The following is a 17911-nucleotide window of genomic DNA, read 5'->3' on the forward strand; positions in this document are numbered from 1 at the left end:
GGAGCTTGCAGCGAGCAGAGATAGCGCCACCGCACTCCAGCCTGGGCGACAGAGCGAGACTCCGTCTCAAAAAAAAAAAAAAAAAATGAATCAGCTATTGACGCACACAATGACATATGTTGTGCTAGATAAAAGAAGCCAGGTCACATTCTATGTGATTTTGTTTATAAATGATTCTAAGAAAAGACAAAACTATAGATGTGGAAAACTGCTTCCTGGTTGCAGGGGGCCTAAGGGCAAGGGGAAAAGATAAGGCCATTTTTTAGGTGGTAGAACTTTCACTGTGAAATTTAATAGTTACACAACTGCATAAGTTTGTCAAAACTGATAGCATTGCGTATGAAAAAAAGTAAATTTTAGTGTGTTTAAATTATACCTCAATTACAAACAAGTACAACAAAACAAAAAAAAGTAGAAAATTAAAAGTTAAGGCTGTCATGGTAGTACTTCATAACTGTTGACAACTCCTGCTTTAAGCATTCAATTTCACATGTAATTTTTTTTTTTTTTTGGTGAGAAGGAGTCTTGCTCTGTCTTCCAGCCTGGAATGCTGTGGCGCAATCTTGGCTCACTGCAACCTACACCTCCAGGGTTCAAGTGATTCTCCTGCCTCGGCCTCCCAAGTAGCTGGCATTACAGGCACCCTCTACCACACTCGGCAAATTTTTGTATTTTTAGTAGAGATGGGATTTCACTATTTGGCCAGGATGGTCTTGAACTCCTGACCTCAGGTGATTCGCCTGCCTTGGCCTCCCAAAGTGCTGGGATTACAGGCATGAGCCACCGTGCCTGGCCTATAATTGTTATCTCAAAGCAACCTTCTCAATAAAGTTCTGTCGAAATAAGTAAATTTTCAATGTTATGAAAGTGACACAGAATATCTAAAATGGTAAAAGATATTTAACTACTGATCACATCAACACAAAACAGGCAATGTCCCAATGTCACATAATAAGTGGGAAGCTAAAAACAAGAACTGGGTGGGTTTTGACTTACTTTTCATGAATTAGTCTTTTGGTATCATCCCAGGTGACCTCTAAGCGGTTTATCTCCCTGTCAACTTCAGGTGCAAAAGCTACATCTTTCTGGGCAATTTGCTTGGCTTTGTCTTTCAACCAACATAGTTCATGCTCGTGAGAATTCAATTCATCTTCTAGCTGATTAAACACTCTTAACCTGTGAATTAAAATGTTATTTTCCTATTAATTTACTAAAGGTAGTAAATGAATATTTCTTCTCCGTAAGTATATGATGAGTCCATAAAGCACTCATTTAGACAGCTAGAAAAACTTTTAACACAGAAATTAAATTAATGTTTATCAATGGAAAAAGTACTTTTAAAGTTAATTTTGCAAAATAACTCAGACTGTACCTCAGAAAACATTGAAAGTCATTCTTACTACTCACCATCAACCTTCTATTAAGTTTGTATTTTCTTTCTACTTTGCTTTGATGGTAGAAGATTTTCAAAACTAAGGCTGATCTCATAGGCTAACTAGGTAAATACTTATTGTAAAATCTTTGGTAAGAAATGTTTCTGGGCCATGAGGTTCAATCCATGTAAATAATAGTGTTTAAGGATTACAGTTGTTTCATTCAATATCAAATTAGCTTTACTGAGCTCTGCAGAATATATATATATATATATATATACTTTTTTTTTTTAAACTTAAATTACCTACTTTGTTGAAAAGATTACCATAAGGAAATGATCATTTTTGTCCCTAATCTATTAGTATCTCAGCATTTATAAAAAGTGGCCATATCACCAGCCACAGTGGCTCATGCCCATAATCTCAGCATTTTGGGAGGCCAAGGTGGGAGAACTGCTTGAGACCAAGAATTCAAGACCAACCTGGGCAACAGAGCAAGACCCTATTTCTACAAAAAATTAAAAAAAAAATTTAGCTGGCTGTGGTGGTACATGTGTATAGTCTCAGCTATTTGGGAGGCTGAGGCTGGAGGATCATGTGAGCCCAAAAGTTTGAGGCCGCAGTGAGCCATGATTGCAACACTGCACTCTAGCCTGGGTGACAGAGCACAACCCTGTCTCAAAGAAAAAAAAAAGTGGCCACAAAGAGGCAGCCATTTACTCTTCATTCTTACAGTTTGGTATAGGACTGTAGAGTTCACACAATGAGTCTACATGCTTTATCCCATTTAATTCCTAAAAGATGGTGGCTGGGGGCAGGTGTTCTTATTATCCCCACCTTACAAGAAGAGAAGAGGTTTTCCCAAGGTGGCACAGTGAAGCATTAGTATGGCTGGAATTTAAATAAGTCCATTAATTCAATACAACATTTTCTGCACCCGATGTGTGACTTTGGTGAGTGCAGTGTTGTGGGTACTGATGTGGCTCCTGAGCTCAACCTGGGTTTTCTACTCTGGCAATTTGAGGATCTCCTGTCTGCTTGGTCTAAGAAGGCCATGACACCCTGCAGCACCAATGATACTGCTGGCATCCAGGGTGAGTGACACTAGGCACCTTGTTCTCTCTTTATTCTGGAGGCTATTTTTTCTTCCCAAGTATCATTCCCTTTTGTAAATTTATTCTTAAACTAATCAGATAATTTATTGCCTATAAAGGGTATAACCTCAGGAGCCCAGTCCCAATATTGACTCCACTATCATCTGACTAAATCCTCGACATAATGGTTGATTCTGGTTAAAAGGAAACAACCAGCAATGGTCTTTCAGGAACAACATAATCTTTACCAATTATGAATACCTTGGCATGAATGCATTTCAGCTGTTTCTTTGCCCACTGAAAAAAATGGAAGAGCAAGTGGCCCTGAAAACAGGAGTCAGAAGGTTCTATTAAGAAGAAAAAAAATTGAAAAGAAGGCTACAGTTTTAAGAAAACAGTTACTTTTCAAATTTACTAAGGGAACTTATCTTTGACCCGTTTGCTTCTCAAATGAACTCACCTGACAAAAGCTCAGCTTTGCTTACTTAAACCCACTCCTCTGCCTCTCCATACCTCTAAGCAAACAGTTAAAAGCAGTTGTAGAAAATGACTCTGCCAAGCTGATTGGTTTCACTTTAAATGAACACAGAGCTCAAATGACAGTTCATCACCTTCCTAAGCTCCCCTCTACAAGAGAACTGTTTCACACCATTTTCTTTCCTCCAACATCTGCCCTCTCCTCTGAACTAATGAGCTTGCACCAGTCTCTACCAAGAGGCTCTCAGCCACCAAGGAGGAATTTCCTCATACTTTTTACCACCAAAACTACTAGGATCACTACCTTTCTCTTCTGCCTTCATTCTTGTTATAGAAGATGAATCCCTTCTCCCATCAGTAAAAAAATTGTTTAAAAACAGATAATAAGATCTACATATTCTTTGCTCATAAACTGACTTTAGGGAAATCCAAAGAAATTTTAGTACGTCTCAAGTGTCAAATTAGTCGTTAATCTTATCTTCAAAGTGGTAAAAAAAAAAAAAAAAAAAAAAAAAAGAAGAGGAAGAAGAAATTGCTAAATATGGTACTATCAACCAAAAAGTATCTGAGACAGGTCTCAATCAATTTAGAAGTTGATTTTGCCAAGGTTAAGGACATGCCCGGAAGAAATAAATATGAAATTACAGAAACAGTCTGTGGTTTATACCTTTCTCCAAAGATGATTTTGAGGGCTTCAACACTTAAAGGGGAAAAATGGGCTGGAGGGGAAAGAGACAGAATAAGGTTAATCCATGTGTTGCAAGAGAAAAGAAGCAGGCAGGGAATAGTCAATTACGAATTCATCTCGTGCTCAGTAAATCAGCACTTTACCTAAGACAAGGTGAACATAGAGTAGCTACCTATGGAATTATTTAATCTTTTCTCTGTATCTATCTGTTTAGGAACAAAAGGAAAGGCAGCTGCTTGCATGACTCAACTCAGCTTAATTTCTTTCTTTTGGCAGAGTGAATTGGGGTCCTGAGTTTTTATTTTCCTTGAACAGTACTAATAAAGTTTTGCATAAAAGTTAATTCCAGAACAAATACAAAAGAAAAGAGACAAGTGGCCGTGACAGTTTCCTATTTACCTCTGCTGAAGAGCTTGGCGGGTAGGTTCTTTCAATCGCTCTTTGTCAGTCCTTTCTTCAATGTCCTCAATGCTTTTCAGAAGCTCCTCTTTCTGGTCTTGGAATGCTTTTTTCAACACTGCCAGAGCATCTGCCTCACTCTGCTTGGTTCCCAGAAGGTTCTGGATCCTCTCTACCTCTCCACAGAGCTGATCAGCCGTGGCTCTGCAGGAAGTCCTTTGCTCAGAGCTCCCGATTTTCAGATGGTATTGGGCTTTGGAAAGAATGCCATCCAGACTGACGGCAGCAGATTCTAATGCTTTAGCATTTTGAAGAGCATCATTGAGGTCCTTTTCTATCAAATCAGACTCGTTCTTATTCATACTGTTGGTTGCTTCCACTGTTTGCCTCAGCTGGCGGAGAATGCCGGACAGAGAGGCATGGCTCTGGAGGAATTCTGCCAAATGGGACAGGGCAAGCTGCCGCCTCTCCACAACCTGGCTGGCCTCCTCAAACAGCTGGAAGCAGTCCTCAGCCTTTCCCTGCAGGAGGTGGAGGTCCTCAGCACGGCCCAGAGAACCCAACTTTGCTAAGTGACCCTGCAGACTCTGCAATTCGCCCTTTTTGCTCTCTACTTCTGCTGCGTGGTCCTGGAAGGGAAGAGAGAGTTATTGATTCCTGAGATACACTACAGTCTATGGCAGAGGTATTTTACAGGATTTGTGATGTGAAGATCTATTTTAGGTGCCATGGATAGTATAGTACTTAAAGGTCATCTACAGTGAATCTTAGAAAATTCACAAAATTTTCTGTTTTGCTGATCCACATTTGTTAAATAAAACACAACTCTGGGCCAGGCGCGGTGGCTCACGCCTGTAATCCCAGCACTTTGGGAGGCCAAGGCGGGCAGATCACGAGGTCAGGAGATCGAAACCATCCTGGCTAACACGGTGAAACCCCGTCTCTACTAAGAGTACAAAAAATTATCCAGGCGTGGTGGTGGGCGCCTGTAGTCCCAGCTACTCGGGAGGCTGAGGCAGGAGAATGGCATGAACCCGGGAGGCGGAGCTTGCAGTGAGCCAAGATTGCACCACTGCACTCCAGCCTGGGAAACAGTGTAAAACTCCGTCTCAAACAAACAAACAAACAAACAAACAAACACAACTCTGTTTTGGAACTATGTAATTAATTCTGTGAAAAAAATTTCTTTGTGGATAGAAATTGTTAGTTAAAAGAAATAAAAACATTGGAAGATTCTTAAAGATGCTTACATATATTTTACATTTTAATTTTAACATTTTAAAGATGCATATATGTATACATTTATATACAAATATTTGTATTTAGATATCTCATATTTTTAATATTTCAACTTTAAAAATTTTAAATTTTAGAAGATGCATGTATGTGAAAAAATTTTAAATTTAAAAATTTAAAAGATGTATATGTGTATACATATAAATCTTTAAAAATCTAAATGTTTAATTTTTTTAACTAACAATTTCTATCCACAAAATCCATGAAGAAATCTTTTTCCATTAAATTAGTTCCAAATCCGAGTTGTATTTTATGCAAGACTTCTGTATAGGAAATTTGACTAGCTCACAATAAATCATGTTTAAAATCTAGCAGAAAATTGGCAACATTCTCAGTGGTTTCCATTAAATAGAAATTATCACCTATCTTAATCTTGACAACAATGACTTTAAGATTCCTCTGTTTGACTACTAAACTTCAGATAGGTTCCTCTTGACTGCAGATCCTGACCTTTTCTTTTTTCTTAGAGCATTTACTTTAGAAAACTTGTAATTGTAAATTTATTCTCTGCCCCTTTGAGATGTAACTCTTCTTAAAGCTCTGGCCAGTTTTTTCTACCTCCGTAATATTTTTCTGAAGGACCTGGGAGCCATCTCTTTGAAATGTAATCATCAGGGAAGATAGCTGCTCTCTCTCAGTCTGTTTGGATGGTAGAGCCTAAATTCACTGAGCACCTTCCCCCAAGATGTAAAACTATCTCCTGTCCTGAAGGTAGGAGAAAGTTGCTTTTCCCTGCCACAGAACCAATTAGTCAACCCAGCAAGGAGTGAACACTCAATAAATATGAAATATTCTATTGTTAAATGTTGCTATATGCGTACTATGTAGCTTATCTCCATTATTTCAATGCTTTATGATCAATATCGGAATTTTTGAATGTTTTCTGGTGCCAGGATAGATATAATGTGTTGGGGAGTCAGAAAATGATACCCTAAAATATGTCACTTTGGACTTTAAACTGAGAGAACCTGAGGAGCAGCAAATTCAGAGAAGAGCTTTTCCTGATGCTCCCTTATCTGACTAAGGAAAGTTCCTCCAGAAGAAATATAATCATCAACCAGGGAGGAATAACTCACAGGAAAGTCCCTTAAGGTCTGACATCTCACTTGGAAAGACTGTTAGCACAGGCTGCCATCTGTAATTCTGAGGTGTGCTACCTGAGAAACTTTTTCTGCATAATAAGACAGCCTTTGTTCACAGTGCATTTCCTCCCCTCACCCTCCCATAGCTTGTCCCTACTACCCTCCTGAAGCCCCAGCCCCTATTTCTTTCTGTATAACATAAAAACTTTAGTCATCTGGTTATTCTTAGAGTCTCATATTTTGTGGGACTCCCATACAATATGCACATAATAAATGTGTTTGCCATTTCTCCTGTTAATTGGTCTATTGTCAGTTCATTTCATAGACTCAAATTATTTGAACGTTCAGAGAGCAGAGGAAAGATCTTTTCACCCCTCCATATGCATAATTTATAAATAAGGGAAATAAGCTTTAAATCATTTTAAAGCTGAATAGTAATTCAGAAAAACTATATCCTTAAAGTATTTGAATTCAGTATTAGTTTTCAGTTTTGAAATAAAACAAACTGGGAAGCTTAAAAATGGACATTCTTATCACTTTATCCTAGCAATCATTTGCTCCACTATGAAGAGAAAGTGTCTTAAGATGGTTGCCAATTTTATCTGAAGTGGCTTTATCTGCTTAATTGGTCTGCATAATTCATTGCCTTAACTCATATGCTCAATTATTAAAACATTTTCATATAAATAAAAAGTTAAATTCTCACCATTTAAACTTTTTTAAAATGTTGCATCTCTTTTTAATTCAAGAACTTTTTTATGAAGAAATTCTTCTTCAATCTTAAAAAAAAAAAAACCACTTTACCTTATGCCGAGTAAGGGCTACTTGATGGTCCATTATGCTAATCTCAGAGGTAGTTTGTAATTCACTGAGAAACAGTTTAATCCAGACAGAAAAGGAAAGCAGCAGCTCATCAAATTGCTGGTGTTCAGCAACCACAGACTGAAGAAAATTAATCCTATGTAGACAAAGTATTAAAGTTAAAATGTCCCATAAGTAAACAGAAAGGATTAATGATGTATTTTGGGAATTAAGCTTACCCAAGGGCAAAAGCAATGTTGTCACACATGAACACTCTATACCTCTTGATATTTTTTACTTCCCAAACCCTGCTTTACTCACAATCTTCCCTGTCTCAGTGAACATTGCCACCATTCACCCTGTTGGTCCTATGAGGCACTCTTCATCTTGTCCTTTCTTTACGAGTGCATCTAATCTATGGATACCCTCTCAGCATAACATATGTTCCAAAATTGAATGAAATTCCTGTAATTCTGATGCCTTAGTATATGTTATCAGTAATAATTATCATTATGTTCAATTGTTGTGTGCCACAGAAGTAACCAAAGTTTTTAATCGTGTCTTTAACCATGGCTAGCCTATGACTTTTGTCATCCATAGACAATTATTATTTTACTTTTATTCTTCTCAAAAAGTGGTTTACAGTCAGCTGCAATCCAAAATTTGCTTTTTCTTTAAGGAAATTCATGGAAAGGACTCTTGCAAGTATTCTAAAATACAGATTTCTGATAACTTTGGAGACTATACTATTGAACTAAGAAAAAACTTCCATGGCTAGGTGCAGTGGCTCATGCCTGTAATCCCAACAATTTGAGAGGACAAGGCAGCTGGATCACTTGAAGTCAGGAGTTTGAGACCAGCCTGGCCAACACAGCAAAACTCCATTTCTACTAAAAATACAAAAATTAGCCAGGTGTGCTGGTGCACACCTGTAATCCCAGCTACTTAGGAGGCTGAGGCATGAGAATTGCTTGAACCTAGGAGGTAGAGGTTCCTGTGAGCTGAGATCATGCCACTGCACTCCAGCCTGGGTGACAGAGTGAGACTCTGTCTCAAAAGAAAAAACTTCCAGGACTCTAATTAAAAATACATTCGTGAGATTTGCTAACCCAACATTAAGCAGAACAAGATTTAATTACATAGGACTGAACTAACAGAGGCCTGAAATACTTTTTTTAGTGGTGTTTTGTTTGAAACATTGCTGATTCTTTTTATGTTTTCCTTTCCAAGTCAAGATAACTTTTTTTTCTTTGAATTGTCTATAGCTTACAACAAATTGGGCAAACTACACTTCTGTGAGCAAAATTTGTAGTATATTTTTTCTCTCTACTTGATTTTTCCAGAAATTGGAGACTATTTGTGAGCATTCTTAATGTATGGTAATATAGTTATTTGTATAAGTTCAATATGTTTTGTCACAGGACACAATTGGAAACATTGGTTATTTTACCAAGGCTTTGACTGGAATGGCATATTTTCAGATATGATCAGACTGCTTTGAGGAATTCAGAAAAACTTTATAGAACCAATGAAAAGCCCTTGGGAAGATTGGCCTTATACTTTTCTATGTGATGCCTTTATAAAGTTCCTGACCTGTGGTAAGTAAAGAATGTCACTTTCTGACAGGCCCAGGAATCTCAAGTTATATTAGGACCTTTAGAAGAAAGGAATTCACCCAATTCATACAGATTATCTGCAGGCACAGATAAACCTTTTGTTTGGTTAATGTTGAGAGACTTTTGAAAGTCTAATCTGAGATTTCTTATGAAAAACGTAGCAGCAAAGCCAATTTTTAAAAAGCCTGTATGGCCAATCACTAATCTTGCTGCACTTTATATGGATAATTAGGCCAAGTATAATAAGACTAAAATTTATCTTGCAAATAAGTTGATCCTACTGTGATTTGTCTTTGGTAGAAATTGGGGGCTGAAGAGAGAAAAATTATGTTTTAAAAAAAACTACAGTATGTATGTTACTAGAATCTAACTTTGTTCATTGTTTTTGAGTTTTTATTATGTTCCCATAATTTGGACTGAATCCTGAATTGTTTCCTGGCCGCAAGTTTCCAAACTAAGGTTTTCCAAATCTTCCTTCCATTTTCCTTATTTTATTTATTTATTTATTTATTTATTTATTTATTTATTTATTTATTTTTTGGAGATGGAGTTTCACTCTTGTTGCCCAGGCTGGAGTGCAATGGCGTGATCTTGGCTCACTGCAATCTCTGCCTCCCAGATTCAAGAGATTCTCCTGCCTCAGCCTCCTGTGTAGCTGGGATTACAAGCACCTGCCACCACACCTGGCTAATTTTTGTATTATTAGTAGAGATGGAGTTTCACCACATTGGCCAGGCTGGTCTCAAACTCCTGACCTCAGGTGATCTGCCCACCTCGGCCTCCCAAAGTGCTGGGATTACAGGTGTGAGCCACCATGCTCAGCCAAAACTGCTTTCCTTAATGCCCCACAAACTGAAGCTAGGCAACTAAACTTTGGGAGAAATAACAGAAACTTGTAAGTAAACAACCTATGTGCCTGTTGATGTATTGACTTCTCAGAAAATTCACTCGACCATTCATCTGAACTGAACTACAATCCAGAAAAATCTGTTCAGATTGCTACTGCAATCTGAAGATGCTTCACAAACTCTAGAAAAACAAGTCTATAGACTACTCTAGATATTAAACTTTGTTTTTCTTCTGTTTCCTTAGAAATGTCTCTTATTAAAGATCTGTTTGCCTGCATCATATGTAGAGGCCCAGCCCATTTGCAATGCCACTTTCTGGAATGGGACACAGCTATTTAACTGAACTGATCTATTCTCAGGACTAAGAGACTGACTAAAGAAGACATGCAACAATATATTTCAGTTTGCTTTTTTTCTGTTTATCTTAATTTGCTTTTCCACTCCTTTGTCTATCTCTATGAAATAGCCTTTTTTTTTCTTTTTATTTTATTGAGACAAAGTATCACTCTGTTACCCAGGCTTCAGTGCAGTGCTGTGATCACAGCTCCTTGTAACTTCAAACTCCTGGGCTCAAGCAATCCTCCTGCCTCAGCTTTCTGAGCAGCTGAGACTACAGGTACATGCCACCATGCCTGGATACTTTTTTGAAAAAAATTTATTGTAAAGATGGGGTCTTGCTATGTTGCCCAGGCTGGTTTTGAACTCCCAGCCTTGAGCAATCCCCTCACCTTGGCCTCCCAAAACTCTGGGATTATGGGCATGAGCCATCACACCCAATCTCTATCAAACAAACTTTAACACAAATCTCTTCAAAACTTTCCATTTAGCATTTCACATTAATACGTGAAATGTTTTTTAAGTTTCAAAATGGGAACTGAAGGAAATCAAAATATTTTACTCCAAAATATATTTCTTTGACAAATTCTGAAATGGCCCTGCAAAGCTGTCTTTTGGGGAATAAACTTGCTTCTGTAGATCTGTAGAGAATCTGCACTAATGCAGCTAGCCCTGCCTTTGTCCAGATCTAGGAAAGATGAACTGAGAGTCAAACACCATAAAGACCTGAAAAAGACCTTTACCATGTATTCTCTTTGAGGGCTATACCTGTGAGGTTTCATCTACATAACAAGACCAGCTTTGCTAGCCAAGCCTCTTCCTTTCTCCCTCCAATAACCTGTCTTAACATGAAAACCTGTTTTGGGCCATTTTCTGAGCTCACAATCTTTCTGTAACCTCAATATGGCATATATTCTGTATGTCAAATGTATGGAGTTTGGATCTCCATCCTGAAGGCTCCTGTGTATATACATTAAATAAATTTATATGCCTTTTCTATTAATCTGCCTCATGTCAGTGATTTTCTAACCTCTAGGGGGCCAAGGGCCTCAGCCCTATAATCCCCCCACTCCTCCCTCCCCACCAACACACACTATACATTGACTCTGCACTCTTCTCTCCATTTGCACTGCTCTCATCCTGGTCTAAACCTCTTCAGTTCTTGCCTGACCTTCAACAGCCTCCTAACTGGCTTCCTCCCTCCCACCTTTGCCTACTTACAATATACTCTCTAGATAATAAGTAAACATGATTTCAAGTGAACAGGGCATTCCCTGTCCTTAAACACTAGGTGGTTTCCCATTGCACTTAAGAAGGCAGAACCCCAAACTCCTTACTGTGGTCTACAAGAAACCTCACATCATCTACTTCTCTGGTCTCATCTGACACAGCTCTGCCCCATATTCCCACTGACTTCCTCTCTGTCTCCCAATAAAACCAACTCATTACTGCCTTAGAGCTTTTGCCATTTTTGCTCCCTTTGCCTGTGTGGGTCTGTTTCCTGCACAGCCCACAGATCTTAATCTGATGTCATCTCCCCAGAGAGGTCTCGCTTGACCACCATTCTAAAGATACACCATCCTGCAGTCCCTGCCATGCTACCCTGTTTTGTTGTCTTCATAATACTGAACACTGCCTGAAATCGTCTTGTTTGTTCACTTGCTTAGTTATGTATTTATTTTCCGCCCAGTTCCTTCCTCCCCTCTCTCCACACCATGGACCTGCCTTGCTTACTGCTGTATCCTCGGCACCTAAAAAGGTGCCTGGGATATCATCAGGGACCAATCAATGAATTAGTTAATAAATAATAGGTGATTGGAGATCAGAATCCAAACATATTAAAAATAATCCCTTAATCAAAACTAGTATTTATTAAAATGGTTTGTATCCAAAGTTCAACTGTTAAATCAGCTTTCACATTTTAATACTTATAAAATCTTCTACACATTATCCTTATATGCATACATTATATTTTCAATGCCTTCACACATTGGTATCACTTTAAAAGTCCCTTACTTTCCCTCTAAGGGATAGGCAAAGGGCAGCTACTGCTTTGTTTTACAGAAAATTGCTCACCTTTCAAGAGGTGGCATCAAATCTTTCCGTAAATTTCTGAAACCATTCAAATGTCCCTTTTTTTGATCCTATAATACTTCGTGTTCACCCCTCATTATTCCCACACTAATCTGTCAATTATTTGGGGTTAGGTTTTGTTCATTTTTATGGCTTTTGGTGTCTGATATGGTACCTTGTACTCAGCAGGCACCTGATATATATTTGTTGATTGATTGAATACAGGAATAAATAAATAATAGAATAAATATAAGCTCCATGAAAGCAAAGGATGAAACTCTTTATTGCTGCTATTTCCAGCACATAGAAGAGTATGCTACTCATTGTGGAAAGTCAATAAATATTTGCTGAATGAATTAATTTTTTAAATGGTCAGAAAGGTTAAATGCCTAAGATCACATGGGTGATCAATACCAATTTAAAGAGAAAATTTGTTTTCTGGTATATTGGAAAGGTATAGATGCCAATTGTTAATCACCTAGTTAATTAAGATTTAATCCATTTTTGCCTCCATTTATCAATAATCTCCCTTGCTCTCTCCAGAAGATCTATATTAAAATGAAATGGACTAGCATATGTGTATAAAATGCCTCTGGTTGAGAAATGTCATGTGAGATAAAATTTTAGGTACCATTTTTTTCCTATACAAAAACAGCTTAAGCAATAAATAATACATACATTAGCAATCCTACCGTCTTTAATCTATTTCAACTGGTTTAATAACTTGCCCTTATTTTAAGACTAAATTTTGTATTGGGATTCATCAGAAATGCTCAGTTTTGTGGACCTTGATTTTCAAAATAAAAGTTTTCTTCCCTTCTGTAGTTATCAGGTGAGTAGTTGAGTTAAATAAAAGTAAACAAAACTATGCTTTCTTAATTTATATGCTCATCATTTAAAAACAAATGAACAATATTAGAAGATTTATCTTTTAGAACCAACCTTTTGTTAATGATCTGTGGTAAATCTCTCCATCTCTCATCCAACTGCTCCAAATGTAGTTTCATCATTTTCACATCATCTTTGGAGGCTACTGAGAACAATGATTCCTTCAATTGCAAAAGTTTGCTATAGAATGAGGCCTGGGATACAACTTCATTTTGCAGTGCCTGAAAAATACAAGACATTACGGATCTCATCCTAACAGGACTGAAAAGTAAGGACCATGCGGCACAGGCGGCTGTTGTCCAAAGGATTCGCATTCTTGCAAAATGCAAGTCATTCGGGACAGGCTGAAGAGAGTTTTTATTACTTGATTTAGAAATGGATCCACTTAACCTTTTAAAGGAATTTGGTTCATCCACTTAACCTTTAGGGGAATTTGGTTCCATTCCATTAAAGGTTAAGTGGATCCATTTCTAAATCAAGTAATAAAATGCGACTAAAACCTGAATAAGTTTTCTGGAGTCTGAGTTCTAAGTTAGGCAAATCTAGAAGCTGTAGAATTTCTTTCACGATGAAGAGACTGAGTAGGCAAAGAGAATCAAAGAAAAACTATTGCCGGAGAGACTCAGTGCACAGCTAACAATAAGAGAGATGCAATTCTAGCCTGGGACATGTTCTGCCTTTCTATTTAGAGTCTAGATTAGGCCAAACTGGAGAACTTAAGGGCTCTTCATTTTACTTTTAAGCAACAGAACTCCTTCATTTTAAAAATGTAATCAGTCAACGAATCTCTTAAGTGCTGTGAGGTGCATAAAAGTTGTGGCTCCTACCTAACAAAAGATAAAATATAAACACTCCAATAGATAGGTAATAATAATAAAAAAATATTAAGTGAAATGATAGGTATGGCACAGCAGATAGTAGATACTTGTCAAAATGCTCTCCTTCCCTTCCTAGTGAGGCCACATAGGTGATACAAGCAAGATTGCTAAAGGGATTAGAGGAAGGAATACACAGCCTGTGGATGACAGGTGAGATCATAAAGCAGAACTGCGACTTATGCTGGGTACAAGGGAAAGAAACAGCGCAGGGTGCAGAGCCAGGAGGTAGGAATGCACAAGTCAGGTCCAGCCCACGAGGCGAGGCTGCCTTACTGACGCAATGTCAGGATGCAGGAGTAACAGAGTCTGCAGTCCTCTCAGTCATATGGCACTTAGTTTCCACGTGGAGATGGGCAGCAACAGTTTTACATGCCCATGTAGCCTTGAGTCAGTGTCTTCATTTATAAGGAAAAGAGCTGTGAAGTCCCTCCCCTCTGGGAATACCCCACATGTATTTGCAAGAAGACAGGAACCAGATTGTAGATCAGGATTGCCCTTTATGGTCAGGGCGGGAAACAGTCAGTACAGGTTTCTGAGAAGGGACTTTGTGGAAGATGAGTGCAGACACCAGTGTTTAATAAACCAGAAAGGCAGGAGAACCAGAAGAATGGAGTACCCCCCAAGTCAAGGAAGGAGAACATTTAAAGGTGGGGCCACAGATTCCGATGCTATAGACACTGGTGACAGAGTTTTCAGAGAAGCGATTACAAAAGGCAAAAGAACGTAGCTTCCTCTTAAACGTCTTATAAAAGTTGATGGGAGAAAGTTGGAGTATAAATCTGTAATACAATAAATCTTTTTTGAGAAGCAATTTTGACTGTTGAATTTTCCAGCATAGACAGTATCATTTAAGGCAAGTTATTAATCTCTAGAAATCAGTAACATTGCCTTTAGCTTCAATTATACTCAACGATTTTCTTTCTTTAAGTTTAAAAAATTGGCTTCTTCAAGTATGAAATAAACTTTGTCTTTCTACCTATTACCTACATTTGTGCTCATTCATTTTTTTCTGTCTTCCATAAGAATAATCATTACTGTGACTTCTTTCTACATTCTATTACTTATTTCTTTAAAAGAACACCCTTTATTGCCCAAACGTCATATAATTACAAAAGTAGAGAGATTATACCTATTTCCAGCCTCAGAAATTATGAACTGATAGCCAACCTCTTTCATCTATATTCCTACCCATCCTTTCCTCAACTCCTTTGCCAAACCATGTTATTCAGATGCCGGGCATTACATTACAGGATTTTCTAACACATCATGGAAATTGATCATCACAAAGTTCTCATTGTTAGTTTCTCTCCCTTTCAGGTCATGGTTGCTTTCTTCTTTTTGGAACACCCTGATGTCAAATGATGCTTCAGGAATCACAAAACCAAAGCAAGAAGGGAGGTACAAGTTTATTTATTTTATTATTTTAAATAATGTAACTGTAACAAAAAGCATTTTATTTTTTCCTTCCTCACACTTCCTTGAACTTGCCTGTATTAACTGAAGTTCACCTTCCACTTTGACTCTGTCTGCAGAAATGTCCATTTCTGGGGAACTGGCTTTAGCTTCACCCCGCTCTAACCAGGTCAAAAAGGATGATAGTTCTTTCTCTAGCCTAAAGGAAGCAGAGAGCAGAAACAAATTTATTGAAAATTATCATGCTAGCAGATTAAACCTTTGTGAAGTTGGAGGGTCCAACACAAACCATAGTAAATACAGCCTCAGTTATCTCAGTCTTAGATATGCCAGCACAAAAATCCCTCCTTTTATTTTCATTTGTGTCCCTGCACTCACATTTATATTGGATAATATGTAAAGACCCATATATATCCTCTCCACTCTCAGGAATCTTTGCCTTATAACAAAGATCAAGAGTTTCCTACAGTAGACCCACAAGTTCACGTCTTTTGCATCTGGGATAACTACTCCCCATCACTTTAAGAACTGCTAATCCAGAATTTCCTATTTAGTAGTGCAGCAACTCAAGGAAAAGTGCTGCTCACCTCTGCCAGTGGGCCAGCAGATTCTCCAGCGCCGTCTGTCTCTCCTTCGCCCTCCTTAGGATGTCCTCGTATTGCTGCTGTAGAGCCGCAGCCTCCTGAACACAGGAATCTCTGTTCACAACCTTCCTGGCACTGGCTGAGAAGGCAGTGATCGCGCTGCTCAGTGACTCCAGGGCCTGGCAGAGATCCTAAGAAGAGTGCGAGAAGAATGCAGTGAAAGCACAGGAGCCAACGAGGCCTGCATTTTTCTTTGACACCGATCATCGCAAAATATTTTCCCTCAGTCATAATAAACAGGAATAGCACTAAGAATGGGTACAAATATACAGTTTGATAGAAGAAATGAGACTTAGTGTTCAATAGATTAGTAGGGGGACTATAGGTTACAATAATCTATCCTATATTTCAAAATAGCTAGAAAATAGTTTGAATGTTTCTTGAATAAATAAAACACAAATATTTTAGGTGATGAAGGTCCCAATTCCACTGATTTTACTTTTACAAATTATATGAATATATTAAATTATCACATGTGCACCCCCAAAAACAAATAAGAGTTATATCTATTTTAAAAGGTCTGTGCCCATGATTTGCAGCAAGACATAGTGAAAATGAGAAGAAAGTGACTTCATAAATACAGAAATCAAAAACGAAAATGGAGACACTTCTTCAAATAAGAATGCACTGCTATTTATCTAAAAACTTTCAACTTTCCCTTAACAATTTAGGTAACTTGTGAAGATTATTAGTCATTTTATGCTAAATACGTATTTAAAAACCCTATTCTTAACTTACAAAACCCACATGTAACATGCTATAATCACTCCAAAAAATACATATAAAAAGAATTATGGCTGAAGAAGCTACTGTCTATCTCAATAGTAATAATAATAATAATAATAATAATAATAATAATGACACAGTGCCTCAGAATGTGGCAGGCCCTGCATTACCTGCTTCCCATGTATTGACTCTTTTCATCTTCCTGAGAACCCTAAGAGGTATGTTATTTCATTACCTTCATTTTACAGATTAGGAAATCAAGACACAGAAAAACAACTTGCTTTAGGAAATCTAAATATCGGAAAAGTAGAATATTAGCCTCTTTGGTCCTCCATTATTAACTTAGTTGTCTATAAAAATAATTTCATCACACTGAATTCTCCTACTTTTCCTCATTTTTTGTATTAAGAAATTACAAATAAGTAACGCAAAAGTGTATTCTCATTATCAATATTTAAACAATAGAAATCTCACTCCCTCTTCCAGATGGCCTTTGTCAATGGCTTGTTTTCTATTACATACACCTTTATAAATGTTCGTGCACACATGAACATGCAATATGAATCATATTTGTATTTTTGTTTATTAATTAATGTACGGTAGTATTTCTTTGTACGTAATTATCCCCCTTTGTTCCTCCCCCTAAATTCTGCCAGAGCCATCTGTCTGTAGCCTTGCAGAAGATTCGCAATGATGAGAAAAACCAATCATTGGAAACAGATCAGTGAGGATATATTCCTTAAACATCTGAGTACAGTGGGTTAAAATATGAAGACAGCTATACACATATATTTTTCCTTGCACATGTACTTTTTTATAATGCTGGCAAGAGGTAACAGGGTTGTTAAAGCTAAGCTCTAAAAATGTTACTCATCCTAATTAAAAGAGAGAAATGTATTTGAAATGAATACTCCTTTAATATACATCTTTAATGAAAATTTATTCACATCCTTACATGTCTTGGATTATATAAAGTGAATACATTAGATCTATATAATTACTCAACTAATATAAACATTTTTCCAATTTCAATTCTCTTAAAAAGTTTACTGTATTTTCTTTTCAAGTGGGAATTATCAAATTTTAAGTTGGTAAATAGTAGAAATGTTGAAGCATACTCTTACCATATGTTCTTGAAGAACTTTGTATGTTTCTGTAGCTGAAGAACATATTTTAATTGGAACAGCAAGTTTATCTTCAAATTCAGACACAGATTGCTGGATCTAAAACATTGGTGCAATATAAAAATAACAGTGGGAAAGATACATAGCAAGACAAA

The 17911-nt window shown here is 37.4% G+C and overlaps 1 protein-coding gene across 49 annotated transcripts in view; it reads right to left on the bottom strand.

Annotated features, from left to right (window-relative positions):
- The window catches only part of SYNE1 (spectrin repeat containing nuclear envelope protein 1), a 515676-nt gene that overhangs the window by 290669 nt on the left and 207096 nt on the right, over nucleotides 1–17911 (bottom strand). For all 49 annotated transcript variants that reach the window (XM_047418508.1, XM_017010610.2, XM_017010609.2 and 46 more), the window contains 7 exons: nucleotides 17757–17855; nucleotides 15850–16037; nucleotides 15338–15461; nucleotides 13026–13192; nucleotides 7214–7367; nucleotides 4032–4660; nucleotides 997–1176 (listed from right to left, as the gene is read on the bottom strand). In XM_047418508.1, the coding sequence (XP_047274464.1) occupies nucleotides 997–1176; nucleotides 4032–4660; nucleotides 7214–7367; nucleotides 13026–13192; nucleotides 15338–15461; nucleotides 15850–16037; nucleotides 17757–17855 (1541 nt within the window). The remainder of the gene's footprint in view (nucleotides 1–996; nucleotides 1177–4031; nucleotides 4661–7213; nucleotides 7368–13025; nucleotides 13193–15337; nucleotides 15462–15849; nucleotides 16038–17756; nucleotides 17856–17911) is intronic.

The sequence above is a fragment of the Homo sapiens genome, chromosome 6 (assembly GCF_000001405.40).
Source record: "Homo sapiens chromosome 6, GRCh38.p14 Primary Assembly".
Taxonomy (NCBI): Eukaryota; Metazoa; Chordata; class Mammalia; order Primates; family Hominidae; genus Homo; species Homo sapiens.